Below are 16,383 nucleotides of genomic sequence, written 5' to 3' on the forward strand. Positions count from 1 at the left end.
CGTGGGCTGCACTCGTGGCTGGAATATCTGCAGCCAAGGTCTTGGCTCAGAAGTGAATGGCTCAAGCCCAGAAAAAGGCAAAATTCCTCCAAGATGGAAATCAGCCCCTAGGAACCAGGCAGAATAGAGTAATACATGTTTTCCTATGCCCTGAAATCTGGGGAGCCTCAGCAATGCTTAAGACCCAGCAACTTGGGCTCAGCCTTTCCTGAGCGGTGTCAAGTGCCAAAGGACAAACATCATGCTAAAGTCAATTTCTGCGAAAGAGGTTACTGCATATGAAGAGATGGCTGAACCTTCTGACTACATCCTGAGAGCCTCAGGCCGCAGGTAAGGCTGCTTTGATCACCTGGACTCTCTCCTCTTGCCAGGGCATGGTAGAAGGTCTAAGGTCTCACTTAGAAGAGTGATTTCTTCCTATCCCAATAAAGCTGGCTTTTGCCAGCATGGTTTAGTTTAGTTTGTTACAGGGAGGTGAGAGCAGAAAAGGTCCCTGAGCTACTAGCTCCTTGGAAGAAAACCAGAAGCAGCCGGACATGGTGGCTCACGCCTGTAATCCCAGCACTTTGGGAGGCCGAGGCGGGCAGATCACCTGAAGTCAGGAGTTCGAGACCAGCTTGGCCAACATGGTGAAACACCATCTGTACTAAAAATACAAACATTAGTGGTGGTGCGCACCTATAATCCCAGCAACTTTGGAGGCTGAGGCAGGAGAATTGCTTGAACCTGGAAGGCAGAGGATGCCATGCCATGAGCTGTGATCACGCCACTGCACTACTGCCTGGATGACAGAGCAAGACCTTGTCTCAAAAAAAAAAAAGAAAAGAAAAAGAAAAGAAAAAAATCCAGAAGCCTGGCTGGACTTATAGTGCCCATGATCTCAGCTCTCCTCTTGTCCAGACACTGCCCGTTGCCACCTCCCCCTTCCGTGGCCCTTTCTTTTTTTTTTCTTTTTTTGAGACAGTCTTGCTCTTGTCACCCAGGCTGAAGTGCAATGGCGCTATCTCAGCTCACTGCAGCCTCCACCTCACAGGTTCAAGCGATCCTCCTGCCTCAGCCTCCTGAGTAGCTGGGATTACAGGCGCCTGCCACCATGCTTGGCTAATTTTTTTTTTTTTTTTTTTTAGTAGAGACGGGGTTTCATGATATTGGCTAGGCTGGTCTCGAACTCCTGATCTCAGGTGCTCCACCCGCCTCAGTCTCTCAAAGTGCTGGGATTACAGGCGTGAGTCACAGCGCCCGGCCTTCCCTGGCCCTTTCTTGTGGGCTTACTTCCTTTCTTCCTCTTATACCTGAGGAAAGTTGCCTGTCAGTTCATCTAGTCTCTGCTGTCTCCTGCCCTTGTCACTTTTCTTTTACTCACAAAGGAAAAAGACATTCTAGGCTCAGGCCTGGGCCCCAACCCATCCAAGACTTCAGAACACTAGCAGGTACTTGCCTGGCCTGGGACTTTGCTTTCTGTAGCTCAGACTTAAGGAACATGTCTCATTTGAGTCTCAGCACTGGCCTGGGACATGGTGAGGGCCACACTTAGGGAGAGGGCCATCTCCCAGAGCCTCTGCCTAAAGGCCTGAGGCTTACCACAATTTGCAGCCTCAGTATCTGCTTCCTGGCAACTCTAAAGGTCCTTCTCAGGTTGAAATCCCTTTCCAATCCGTCAGGTAACAGTCTACGCCCCCGCAAGCACAAGGCTACCTTCTTTCATCGGCCGTTGGGCTTGTGGGCTTCCTAGAATCATGCCAACCACCTCAGCCCAAGGTAGCCTCAAAGCCAGTAAGTCACCTACAGGTCACATGCTCTCCAAGGAATCCTCACACCACCACCTATGACCCTTAGGAGACAGACACTTGGGTCTTGGCAAGAGCCTGATAGAAAGTTAACTGAGCTGACCAGGCACGATGGCTCATGCCTGTAATCCCAGCACTTTGGGAGGTCGAGGCGGATGGATCGCGAGGTTAAGAGTTCGAGACCAGCCTGGCCAAGATGGTGAAGCCCCGTCTCTACTAAAAATACAAAAATTAGCTGGGTGCAGTGGTAGGTGCCTGTAATCCCAGCTACTCGGGAGGCTGAGGCAGGAGAATCACTTGAACCCAGGAGGCGGAGGTTGCAGTGAGCCGAGATCACACCACTGCACTCCAGCCTGGGCAACAGAGCGAGACTCCGTCTCAAAAAAAAAGAAAGAAAATTAACTGAGCTGGGAGTCCTACTCTTGTTATGGGACTTCAGACAATTCACCTAGCCTCTTGTTATGGGACTTCAGACAATTCACCTAGCCTCTGTGAGTCTCAGCCCTTTTTTCTATAAAATGGAACTTGAACTCACCTTCCTAAAATGACATGGGAATAAAAGTTTTTAAGTTCCTGAATAAAAGTTTTAAGTAACATACAATTGATGGAAACACTGTCATCCCAATGGCTACACAGCTACCTAGACAGCTCCTATGACTCAAAAGTAACTACTTTCACAGTCCAGGAAGTACCTACCTATTTCAAACTGTCCCAAAGATTCTATGTGCGTAAGTGATTCTTCACCACAAAGGAACAACTTCTGGGTTCAAGTGGAAGACAAGGAATACACAAATGGCCTCAGTTTCAAGTATCTCATGCCCTCTTCTTTGCCTTAAAACACTTTGCCTCAACTTAGGCGAGGGGAAAACAAAGTGGGCAATGTTTGGGAAGGCCTAAACATCTGCCCCTGAAGCCTCTGGAGGTAAGGGGCCTGAGAGGACAGCAAAGCCATCAAGAACATAGGATTGAGGTCAGAGACCTAAGTTTTAGTTCCCAGTCAACCACTAATTAGCAAAATAAATTTATACAAGTTTCTTAATGTCTTTGAGCCTCAGTTTTCAGTATCTATAAAATGAAGACAACACCATCTACATCTTATAAGGCTGATGTGAGGATAACATGAGATTAACGATTGTACAATGCCTGGCACATAATCAATAGTCAATAATGGTTACTAATTTTATAATGAAAGTCTTTCTGGTGACAAGGAGTATTTGGAGTTCTGGCTATCTCAAGATAGTTCTAATGATAAGCCAGGGGCTAGGGCCTCATACATCTTCATTCAGCCTATGGCAGATTCTGGTGAAGAGGAAACAACACTGTCTATTCTTTTTTTTTTTTTTTTTTTTTTTGAGATGGAGTTTCGCTCTTATTGCCCAGCCTGGAGTGCAGTGGCGTGATCTCAGCTCACTGCAACCTCCACCTCCTGGGTTCAAGTGATTCTCCTGCCTCAGCCTCCCAAGTAGCTGGGATTACAGGTGCCTGCCACCACTCCTGGCTAATTTTTGTATTTTTAGTAGAGATAGGGTTTTACCATGTTGGCCACGCTGGTCTTGAACTCCTGACCTCAGGTGATCCACCTGCCTCGGCCTCCCAAAATGCTGGGATACAGGCGTGAGCCACCACGCCCAGCTATCATACCTCTTTTTGGCCAAGTGCTACTACATGGACAAAACCACAGAAATAATAGTTCTGGACCAGGTACAGTGGCTCACTCCTATAATCTCAGCACTTTGGGAGGCCGAGGTGGGAGGATCGTTTGAGGTCAGGAGTTCAAGACCAGCCTGGATGATGGAGTGAGACCCCATCTCTATGTTTTATTTATTTTTTTGAGACAAGATCTCACTCTGTCACCCAGGGTGGGGTACAGTGGCATAATCACAGCTCACTGCACCCTTGACCTTCTGGTCTCAAGTGATTCTTCCACCTCAGCCTCCCAAAGTGCTGGAATCACAGGTGTGAAAAAATATATATATATATTTTATATATATTTATATAAAATACATTATATAAAATATATTTATGTATTATATATAAATATATTATATATATATAAAGAAAAAAATAATAGTTCTGGGAGGAGCCTTTGAAATCACTTAGCTAGTTCATGGCCCTTATTTCACAGAGGAAGAAATAAATGCCCAGAAAGATTGTAAATTGCCCAAAGTCATAAAACTGGGATTATATACCAGAATTTTCTCTCAATCCAGTGCTCTTCCTAGTGCTCAACCCAGTGCAGGCTGTGCTCAACCCAGTGCAGGCTGGTCTAACCTGAGGCACATTCTTGGGTTTACAGGCTAAACTTGGCCTTCAGAGACCAAAGATTCAAGGAATTCAAACTTGCTTCTCCTAAGAAGTTTGGAAGTATGATTTGTGGAGAGCTAAGAAAGTAACCTGGTGAAGCCTTGATTTGCTGTTTGAGCTTTAATGACTACCCAGCTCCTTAGGGCTCCAGGGTTTGACAATTTTCAATACTAGCAGTTGAACACCCTGCTCAACCCTGTTGATAGTTGGTGTAAACCAACAAAATTTTACAGATCACTCCAAACTCATTGTCAGCAATATCTGATTTTGGCTGCTATTTTGATTACTCAATACTCATTTTAGATGGAAGCTTGAAATTCAAAGGTCTTTGATCTTTAATTGGGCTTTTTAGGCCTCTGCCATCCTGTGGTCTTCAGGCTCGGGGCGGGGTGCTGAAAGATTCAATAAATCCCTTCTACAATGAATGCTCCTATCTCAAGGCTAATCTTCCATTTTCCCAAAGAGACTGTCATCATTCTGTTCCACTTCCATGCAGTTCTGCTTTAACCCTGTCCAACTCCTAATCATAAAAAAAAAAAAATCTCTGGATGACTTGAAACAGATAAAGGAGTTAAAATGGAATCAGAAGGAAAAAAAGATAAAAAGGCTTTTTATAGGATTTTCATAATAATTTCCATCTATCTGTCCCACTGGATTCTTGATCACTGTTCTACTTTAGCTGTTTACTCACTAGAGAATATGATTTTTTGAACCCATTTCTTCCACAAAGCAGGAAAGGACAGCCTGAGTCATCAAACTCTGAAAACACAAACAAGAGCATCACCAGGCCAAGTCCAGACACTGCCCTTGCTTCTCCTTCCCATAATGTGGAGGGGGCTGGGCAGGCACTACTTATTCTGCAAGCTGATAATGGAGAAATAATGAGTTTGTTCCACAGCAAGTTGGGTAATGGAGTTTATTCCTCATGATGTTTCAGGATTTGGGACACATCTATCCTGGTGCCCACAGAATCAAGAAGCAAGAAGTCTGGACCACAAAGTAGGTATACAGAAAAAAAAAAGAAGGACTGAATAATCAGGTTTGCTCCCCACACTACCTTTCTAAGCTGTTCACTGTTCTGACCTTTCTGACCTCCTGGTCCTAGCATAATTGTCTTATCCCTAAAAGAAATAGTGCTGGGCCAGGTGCAGTGGCTCATATCTGTAATGCAAGCACTTTGGAAGGCCGAGGTGGGCGGATCACTTGAGGTCAGGAGTTCAAAACCAGTCTGGCCAACATGGTGAAACGCCATCTCTACTAAAAATACAAAAATTTGCCGGGAGTGGTGGCATGTGCCTGTAATCCCAGCTACTCGGGAAGCTGAGGCAGGGGAATCGCTTGAACCCAAGAGGTTCAGTGAGGTTGCAGTGAGCCAAGATCATGCCTGGCAACAGTGAGACTCCACTTCAAAAAAAAATAGTGCTGAGCATACCTTAGGCCTTCAACAATGGTCACTGGCAAATGGACTGCTAGAGGGGAGAGGAAGGTCCAAGCAGCTTCAGGCAGTTTTTAATGGTAAATACACAATGAAATCTCCCTCTCATCATCCTGGAGAAATAATATCACAACTCAAATATACCATTTGTCAGCCAGAAAGGCTGAAGTCATCTTCTTTCTAATACCCAGCAAATTTCCTCAAACTCAAAGGAAGACGACTTTTCCTACAAAAATGAGAATGACCTACTCAGGGCATTGCCTAATTCTCTTCTCTGGATTTGTTATTGGGTCTAAAATGCTCTATAAACTTGGGCAAGAGACTGAAAGAGAAATGGAAGGTCTTATCTTTTATTTCCTCTGAAAGGACTAAATTTAGCCTCCCACTCTTCCTCTATTTTCCTAAAACCAGGCCTTTCCCAGAACTGGTTATGTGTCTCCTAATGAGGAATAGCCCTCTTTTCTCCCAGAAGCAATAAAGGTCTGTCCCTAACCTTGCAATTTCAGCAGCCTAGGCAGAGCCTCTTGATGGCATTGTAACAATTATGTTAAGTGGTAGTCAGATGCTGGACAGCTTAGAAGAGGGATTCTGATAAGGGAGAAGCAAAAGCCAATTCTTCTTTCCCTAAAACCCATATTCTTCCAAATTCAAGATTAGTTAAAGCTAAACAAGAAGCACAGCACTGCAAAGATGTTCTCTAAGTAAAGATCTTGGCAGGTCACTGTTGGGTCTAGTTGTACCTGGGTGCTGAAAAGTTCCAATTAGTAGCTAGTGATAGTCAAGATGGCATAGTGGTTAAGAGCACGGCTCTAGAGTTAGCCTGCCTGGACTCATATCCTATCTTCACCAGTTAGCAGCAGGATGGAGCTGGGTAAGCCTGTTTGTTCATCTTTAAAGTGGAAATACTAATAACTTCATCATATATAGCTGGTTCTGAGGACTAAATAAGACAATGTATTGAAAGCTTTCTATGCTTGGCACACAGAAAGCACTTAAGAAGTGTAGCTATTACTACTATTTTCTTTTGCCTTGATATGACCCTATGAATAACTATTTTTTAGGGCCTGAAATTGGGAGAAGTGACCTATTTCCACAGCTTCCCTTTCAACCCCATCCATAAATAAAAAAATTCCTCTCATCTGTCCCCACCCTTTCTGGAAGACATTTGCATTCTACAGGTTTCCCAATGAGGGATTTCCTGTGGAGGAAAGAATATACTGCTTTAGGGTTCGTGCATTAGCAGGTGGACGCAGGCAGAGTGGCAGGCCCTCTCCTAGAGAAACAACATGCCATTACGACTGATTTCCTCACTGAAATCTCTCATAGCTAGATGCTTAGCACTCTGAAGGAGGCTCAGTGTGACATTATGGATTTTCATAATGTCTAACAGAGTCCTAAGAAACAACAAACAGTCAACATGTTTGCTGACTAATTTAGTAACACAGGCCCAACCAAAAAAGAAAGTAATCTCTCATCAAGGTCACGTGGTAAGATTAGAGTTAGACCCTGATGTACCTTCTGCACTGTTCTCAGCATTCTTTGACAGGCTTCAAAAGCCCTCAGAGCCAAGTCTTGCCTTTACGGAGCTAACATGCAAACTGAGGAATCAAGATAAACCACCATCAACAGGCACACCCACAGATGTAAGGACATAGAAGGTTGAGCCAGTAACACTAAGTATGGTTTGGAGTCAGCTGCTTAACTGACCAGTGAATGGGCAGCTAGATTGAGATAGTGTCACACCTTCTAAGACTGGGAAAATAAGGAACCCAAGGTTTTTTCTCTTTTGTTTACCACCTCTTCCTCTTTACATTACTGTAGTAGCTAATTGTGAGTGCAAAATTCTACACAAGTGTAGCAGGGCCCCTGAGACAGCAGCTGCAGGAAGGACCAACCATTAGCTTGGACATATCTGTGACTGACACTGACAGCCTAGACTCCATCAGGGCAATCACCTGAAAGGCAGATTCTTCAAGGCTCAGCCCTGACACTGAAATAAATAAATCCTGTACAAAAGATGAGCAAAAGATGAAACGAATGGGAGAGGATGTCACTCTACTCTCAAAATATACAAGCTATAGCTATGGTTTCTCAGAAATTATGTTTGATCCATTCTGAAATGACTTTCTGAGGTGTGTTCAATGTAGCGATGGATTCCAACTGCATAAATTCAGCTCAGCTGTGCAGTGTACTTATTAGATAACTGTCCAAAACAATCTAAGCAGAGAAACATGGTGATCTTTGAGCAGCCAGGTTCAAAGAGTTGCTGAGCCATTTTTAGCACTTGTTTGCATATAGCAACCAAAAGAGTTGTATCTCAGACAACAAGGAAAACAATTAGATTCATGAGCTCCAATGCTAACTAGTACCCAGAGGAGACTGTTAAATTCCTTTAAATGCTATCGGCTTACCCCTCTGGTCCATGGGCAGATGGAGGGTCTCAAAGAGACACAGTGACCAAGCAGACAGTTAAAAGGATAAAATATTAGAGACCCAAAAGCTTCAGGTTCAAACTCTCCTTACTGTTGAGAGATATGAAGGTTGAGCCTTTGTAAATGATCAATGTTAGTTAAGGCTAGCACTTGGACCCAAGAATAGATGGAAAAAAAACGGGGAAAGGGAATATCAGAAATGTTTTAGTAAATTATCTTAAAAAGGACATAAAAATGCTCACTATATATACCATTTCCAACACCCATTTGAGACTTCCCTCTGTAGTAACTGAGAAAAGAGGAGGGAAGAAAGAGAATGAAGTAGGTGGAGATGATATATATAGATATAGATATAGATATATAGATATAGATGAATAGTTAATATAAGGGAAGGTTCTCTGAAAAATATGTGAAATTCAAAAAATTCAGTTGGGCAACTCAGGGTATGCAGTATTTTAAAGTAGTTCAGAACTTCCACTTGATAGAGTAACTGAGAACTGGGAAACAATTCTTGTCAGATACTGGATATCAGGCAGTGCAGGACAGGAATCCTAAGAGAAGGAAAACAAGGAGAACTTGAAGGTCCTGCCAAGCTAAGGAGACATATAGGTGTTTGGGGAGGCAGACTATCAAAGAGAAGGGAGACAGGCCGAGAAGGAGCTTCAGAAATTTTCAAAGTGTTCCTACTGAATTTGTTCCTAAATATTAATAATATGGATTGCATATGTTGGGTCTGACTCAACTAGGTCAGACAAAAATTATCTGAGAATTTGTAAGCTGAACAATTCTCAGAGTTCACAGAGGGCTGGGAGATGTTTGAATTTTGACTAACCAGAATGAAGAGTACCTGTTGAATACCTAGGGCATTCAAACAAGATGCCACAATAGTTACACCCGAGCAGTGGCACTAAACTAGCCCTAGAGTAAAGGCTACTTTAAACTAACCCAAATGAAGATTTCAAAAATGTGTCAGAAGGATTGTACTACTCCATAAATATTTTATCTGCCTTCCTGAATAAAGTCCAATATAATTTAAAGAAAGACAACAAAATCTAGCACTTAACTTCAATAAAAATAGCCAGACATATCAAGAAGCAGAAAAATGTGACCTATAACCAAGAGAAACAGCAGTCAATAGAAATAGACCCAGAAATGAGGGAGATGATGAAGTTAGCAACAAGGACATTTAAAGAGCTATTATTTTAAAGACCCATTAACATAATAAAGAGAAAAATGGTAGATATAAGGCACATTGTAATGAAACTAGTGTTAAAGGAAGAATAGTAAAATCAGCTAGAGAAAAAAAGACACATTATGTATAGAGGAACAAAGATAAGAGTTCACATTGCTTGCCAGAAAATATGTAAGCCAGAAGACAATGTAATAATAATATTTGTGCTGACAGGAAAAAAAATAGTTAACTTAGAATCCTACGTCCAGCAAAAACATCATTCAGAAATGAGAGTAAAATAAAGACATTTTCAAACAATCTGAGAGAATGTGTTGCCAAAAGTCCTGTACTACAAGAGATATTAAAAGAAGTTCTTGACTGGGCACAGTGGTTCACACCTCTAATCCCAGCACTCTGGGAGGCTGAGGCGGACGGATCACGAGGGCAGGAGTTTGAGACCAGCCTGGCCAACAGGGTGAAACTCTGTCTCTACTCAAATACAAAAATTAGCTGGGCATAGTGGCACATGCCTGTAATCCTAGCTACTTGGGAGGCTGAAGCAGAAGAATTGCTTAAAGCCGGGAGGCAGAGGTTGCAGTGAGCCAAGATTGCACTACTACACTCCAGGCTGGGCAACAGAGCGAGACTCCGTCTCAAAAAAAAAAAAAAAAAAAAAGGCTGGGCGCAGTGACTCACACCTGTAATCCCAGCACTTTGGGAGGCCAAGGCGGGTGGATCACGAGGTCAGGAGATCAAGACCATCCTGGCTAACACAGCGAAACGCCATCCCTACTAAAAATACCAAAAAAAAAAAAAAAAAAAAAAATTAGCCAGGCGTGGTGGTGGGCGCCTGTAGTCCCAGCACTCGGGAGGCTGAGGCAGGAGAATGGTGTGAACCTGGGAGGCGGAGCTTGCAGTGAGCCGAGATTGTGCCACTGCACTCCAGCCTGGGCGACAGAGCGAGATTCCCTCTCAAAAAAAAAAAAAAAAAAAAAAAAAGATGTTCTTTGGCAGAAGGAAACTTATATCACCTGTATCTATAAATAATAATAAAGAGCACTAGAAATAGTAAATACATGGGTAAACAGAAATTATTTTTACACAAATTTAAAATGTATGACAACAATAGTACCAATGAAAGAATAGGGCAAATGGAAACATACTATTACAAGGTTTTCACATGTAACGTGAAATAATACATTATTTTGAAGGTGCACTATGGCCGGGTGTAGTGGCTCACACCTGCAATCCCAGCACTTTGGGAGGCAGAGACAGGCAGATCACTTGAGGTCAGAAGTTCGAGACCAGCCTGGCCAACATGGTGAAACCCTGTCTCTAGTAAAAATACAAAAATTAGCTGGCCGTAGTGGCGCATGCCTGTAATCCCAGCTACTGGGGAGACTGAGGCAGGAGAATTGCTTGATCCCAAGAGGGGGAGGTTGTAGTGAGCCAAGATCGCACCACTGTACTCCAGACCTGGCAACAGAGTGACACTCCATCTAAAAAAATAAATAACATGAAGGTACACTGTGATAAGTTAAAGATGTATATTGTAAGCCTTATAGCAACCACTAAAAAAAGAAAACGAAAACGGATAACTAAAATGTCAATAGCAGATATAAAATGAAATCATAAAAAAAAAACCCTCAGTAAAATAAAAAGAGGGCAGAAAAAGAAAAAGAACAATGAGTGGATGGGAAAAACGGGGGAAAGCAAGATGGTAGTTTTTAACTCAGTTATATTCATAAATAAGTTCAATGTAATACTCCAATTAAAAGGCAGGGACTTTCAGATTGGACATAAAATCAAGAGCCAATTATACAAGTTGCCCAAAATAAATCCACTTAAGCCAGGCGCGGTGGCTCATGCCTGTAATCCCAGCACTTTGGGAGGCAGAGGCGGGTGGATCACCTGAGGTCGGGAGTTCGAGACCAGCCTGACCAAGATGGAGAAACCCTGTCTCTACTAAAATTACAAAATTAGCCTGGCATGGTGGCGCATGCCTGTAATCCCAGCTACTCGGGAGGCTGAGGCAGGAGAATAGCTTGAATCCGGGAGGCGGAGGTTGCGGTGAGCCAAGATCACGCCACTGCACTCCAGCCTGGGCAACAAGAATCTACCTAAAATATAAAGACACAGATTGAAAGTAAAATGATAGAAGAAAGTTGAATTGCTATATTAATATCTGACAAAGGAAACTTAAAAACAAGAAATAGTATCAGGAATATAGAGCAAAATTTTGTAATGATAAAGAGGTCTATTCATTATGAAGACGTAACAAACCCATACATACATGCATCTAAAAACAGTTTCAAAACTTTGAATGAAACAAAATCGATAGGCTAAAGAAGAAACAGAAAAACATATAGTTACAAGTTGAAGGTTTCCATACTACTTTCAGTAACTAATAGAACAAATAGGTAACCCTAAACAATATGGGTTTGAACTGTGTGGGTCCACTTATATGCAAATTTAAAAATATACATATATATTAGAAAGGTTTTTGAAGATTTGGAACAATTTGAAAAATCTCGCAAATTGTGTATCTTAGAAATTTTGAAAAAATTGGTTGTGCATGGTAGCTCGTGCCTGTAAATCCCAGCACTTTGGAAGGCCGAGGTGAGAGGATCGCTTGAGCCCAGGTGTTCAAGACCAGCCTGGGCAACATAGTGAGACTCCATCTCTTAAAAAATAAAATAAAATTAAGGCCAGGCACAGCGGCTCACACCTGTAATCCCAGCACTTTGGGCTGCCAAAGAGGTTGTATCACAAGGTCAAGAGTTCGAGACTGGCCTGGCCAATATGGTGAAACCCTGTCTCTACTAAAAATACAAAAATTAGCTGGGTGTGGTGACACTTGCCTGTAGTCCCAGCTGCCCAGGAGGCTGAGGCAGGAGAATCACTTGAACCCAGTAGGCAGAGGCTGCAGTGAGACAAGATAGTGCCACTACACTCCAGCCTGGGCAACAGAGCAAGACTCCATCTCAAAAAAAAAAAAAAAAAAACACACACACACACACACACACACACACAAAAACCAGACAATTCTCAAAAGAAGACACATGAAAAAATGCTCATCATCAGTGGCCATCAGAGAAATGCAAATCAAAACCACAATGAGATACCATCTCATACCAGTTAGAATGGCGATCATTAAAAAGTCAGGAAACAGGTGCTGGAGAGGATGTGGAGAAACAGGAACACTTTTACACTGTTGGTGGAACTGTAAACTAGTTCAACCATTGTGGAAGACAGTGTGGCGATTCCCTAAGGATCTAGAACAAGAAATACCATTTGACCCAGCCATCCCATTACTGGGTATATACCCAAAGGATTATAAATCATGCTACTATAAAGACACATGCACACGTATGTTTATTGCGGCATTATTCACAATAGCAAAGATTTGGAACCAACCCAAATATCCATCAATGATAGACTGGATTAAGAAAATGTGGCACATATACACTATGGAATCCTATGCAGCCATAAAAAAGGATGAGTTCATGTCCTTCGTAGGGACATGGATGAAGCTGGAAACCATAATTCTGAGCAAACTGTCTCAAGGACAGAAAACCAAACACCGCATGTTCTCACTCATAGGTGGGAATTGAACAATGAGAACACTTGGACACAGGTTGGGGAACATCACACACTGGGGTCTGTTGCAGGCTGGGGAGAGGGGGAAGGGATAGCATTAGGAGAAATACCTAATGTAAATGACGAGTTAATGGGTGCAGCACACCACATGGCACATGTATACATATGTAACAAACCTGCACATTGTGCACATGTACCCTAGAACTTAAATTTAAAAAAATCAGGACTTTACAAACTCTCAATTAAAAGCCCTGACGCAGCTCAAAAAAAAAAATTTTTTTTTAATTATATTAAAGCTTTGGGAGGCCGAGGCGGGCAGATCACAAGGTCAGAAGATCGAGACCATCATGGCTAACATGGTGAAACCCCGTCTCTACTAAAAATACAAAAAATTAGCCAGGCATGGTGGTGGGCGCCTGTAATCCCAGCTACTCGAGAGACTGAGGCAGGAGAATGGCATGAACCCGGGAGGCAGAGCTTGCAGTGAGCTGAGATTGCGCCACTGCACTCCAGCCTGGGCGACAGTGTGAGACTATGTCTCAAAAAAAAAAAACAAAAACAAACAAACAAACAAAAAGAGTAAGAAAACATTAAATATGTAATGAACACGTAAGATATACATAGAGAGTATTTTATCATTTACTACCATAAAATATACACAAGTCTATTATAAAAAGTTAAAATTTACAAAACTCATGCACACAAACACCACACATGGCACCATTTGCAGCTGAGAGAAATGTAAGCAAACGTAAAGAGGCAGTATTAAATTATAACTGTATAAAATTAACTGTAGTACCTACTGTACTACCGTAATTTTTTTTTCTTTTTTGAGACAGAGTCTCACTCTGTTGCCCAGGGTAGAGGGTAGTGGCATGATCTTGGCTCACTGCAGCCTCTGCATCCCAGATTCAAGCGATTCTCCTGCCTCAGCCTCCCAAGTAGCTGGGATTACAGGCATGAACCACCACTCCAGGCTAATTTTCATATTTTTTGTAGAGATGGGGTTTCCCCATGCTGGCCAGGCTGGTCTTGAACTCCTGACCTCAGATGATCCGCCCACCTCGGCCTTCCAAAGTGCTGGGATTACAGGCGTGAGCCGCTGCACCTGGCCTACTGTAATATTTTCATAGCCATCTCCTGTTGCTAGTGTGGTGAGCTCAAGTGTGACTATCCACTTAAAATGCCCTGTGACGCTAATCATCTCCACATGAGTAGTTCCTCTCTCCAATAAATTGTGTATTGCAGTAAAAAGCGATCTCTTGGCTGGGTGCGGTGGCTCACGCCTGTAATCCCAGCACTTTGGGAGGCCGAGGCAGGTGGATCACCTGAGGTCAGGAGTTCAAGACCAGCCTGGCCAACATGGCGAAACCCCATCTCTACTAAAAATACAAAAATTAGCCGGGTGTGGTGGCACTTGCCTGTAATCTCAGCTACTTGGGAGGCTGAGGCAGGAGAATCACTTGAACCCAGGAGGTGGAGGTTGCAGTGAGCTGGGATTGCACCATTGCACTCCAGCCTGGGCAAGAAGAATGAAACTCCATCTCAGAAGAAAAAAAAAAAAAAGCTATCTTTCGCAGTTCTCATATATTTTTCATGGTGTTTAGTGCAATAGTGTAAAACTTGAACAACTCCATGGAACCCACACAAAGTGCCATGAGAGAGACTGAAAGTGCTCGCAAGAAGCAGAGAAGAGTCAGAGCATTACAAGAAGAGGCTGAATTGCTTGATATGTACCACAGACTGAGGTCTGCAGCTGCAGTCACTTGCCATTTCAAGAAAAATGAATCCAGTGTAAGGACAAGTGTAAAAAAAAAAAAAAAAGAAAAGAAAAGGAAAAGAAATTTATGAAGCCATTCCTGCAGCTACGCCAGCAGGCATGAAAATCTTGCATTTTTTGCAAAATACCTTTTTATCTTGTATTGAAGATGCAGCTTTTATGTGGATGGAGGATTGCTGTAAGAAAGGCATACCTATAGACTCTAATGTGATTAGAGAAAAAGTGAAGTCATTATATGACAACTTAAAGCAAACAGGAAGGTGAAGAATTTAAAGCTGGGGAACTTAATATCAGCAAAGGATGGTTTGATAATTTTGAAACAAATTTGGCTTTAAAAATGTCAAGATAACAGGAGAAGCAGCCTCTGCCAACCAAGAGGCAACAGATGAATTTCTAGACACTATTAAGAAAATCACTGAGATAGCAAGACCCTGTCTGTCTGTAAAAACAAACAAACAAAAACAAACAAACAAACAAAAAGAATGAACAAAGAAAATCACTGTAGACAAAAGTACCCTATTCTGAAAAAAAATTTCTGCAAAAGACATTTATTAGTAAGGAAGGAAAGTGACCGACAAGATTTAAGGCAGGAACAGTAACCCTGCTTTGTGCAATTGCAATTGGGTTTATGATGAGGAGTGCCCTTATCTATAAACCTTTAAGCCCTGAGTCTTGAAAGGAAAAGAAAAACACCTAGTTTTTATCTTGCTAATCTTCTGCTAGTCTTCTTGTTATATGACAAGAAGGCCTGGACAACAAAAACTCTTTTACTGGATTGGTTCCATTGATTCTGTCTCTGAAATCGCAAAGCACCCTGCCAGTAAGGAACTGCCTTTTAAAGTTCTTTTGATACTGTACAATGCCACTGGCTACCCATGACCCCACGAATTCAGCACCAACCATGGGTGCCCCAAAGATGTCTCTAATTCAGCCTCCAAATCAGAGGGTCATAAAGACCTTTAAGGCTCATTACATATGGTACTCTATGCAAAGGACTGTCAATGCTGTGGGAGAAAACCCAATTGGAGAGAATATCATGAAAATCTGGAAGGATTACAACACTGAAGATGCCATCACTGTTACAGAAAAAGCCATGGGCGAGGTGCAGTGGCTCACACCTGTAATCCCTGCACTTTGGGAGGTCAAGGTGGGAGGACTGCTGGCATCCGGGAGTTCAAGACCAGCCTGGGCAACATAGTGAGACCCCACCTCTACAAAAAATAAAAAATTAGCTGGGTGTGATGGTGCATGCCTGTGGTCCCAGCTACTCGGGAGGCTGAGGTGGGAGGATCACTTGAGCCCAGGAGGCCAAGGCTACAGTGAGCAGTGATCACGTGAATGCGCCCCAGCTTGTATGACAGAGTGAGACCCCATCCCAAAAAAAAAAGAAAAAGCCATGAAAGGCTGGGGGTGGTGTCTAATGGCTATAATCTCAGCACTTTGGGACGCTGAGGCAGGAGAATGGCTTGAGGTCAGGAGTTTGAGATCAGGCTGGGCAACATAGTGAGACCCTGTTTCTATTAAAAAAAAAAAAAAAGAATTGGAAAAAGCCATGAAAGTCATCAAGTCCAAAACAACAAATTTCTGCAGGAGAAAACTGTGTCCAGATGTTGTGCATGACTTCACAGGATTTACTACAGAGTCAAATCAAGGAAATTACAAAAGAGGTTGCAGATATGGATCTTGGAGAAATTCCAGAGCTAACAGACACAACATCAGAGGAATAAACAGAAGAAGACATGAGGGAGATGCGTTCTTCCCCAACCAGTGCCAGACAATAGGAAGAAGACATAGAAGAAGCAGAGCCAAGAAACAAATTGACATTAGACAATCTGGATGAAGGTTTCCAATTATTCAAGACTGCTTTTGACTTC

The 16,383-nt window shown here is 42.6% G+C and overlaps 1 protein-coding gene and 1 long non-coding RNA gene across 13 annotated transcripts in view; one reads left to right on the plus strand and one right to left on the minus strand.

Annotated features, from left to right (window-relative positions):
• Positions 1 to 16,383, minus strand: part of ARMH3 (armadillo like helical domain containing 3) — a 210,575-nt gene that overhangs the window by 6,347 nt on the left and 187,845 nt on the right. The window lies entirely within an intron of this gene.
• LOC101927445 (uncharacterized) overlaps positions 1 to 16,383 on the plus strand; it is a 27,911-nt gene continuing 11,528 nt past the window's right edge. Inside the window, exons 1-2 of the long non-coding RNA XR_946261.3 lie at positions 1 to 330; positions 5,029 to 5,090. This is a non-coding gene — a long non-coding RNA (uncharacterized LOC101927445). The remainder of the gene's footprint in view (positions 331 to 5,028; positions 5,091 to 16,383) is intronic.

This window comes from Homo sapiens, chromosome 10, assembly GCF_000001405.40.
Source record: "Homo sapiens chromosome 10, GRCh38.p14 Primary Assembly".
NCBI lineage: Eukaryota > Metazoa > Chordata > Mammalia > Primates > Hominidae > Homo > Homo sapiens.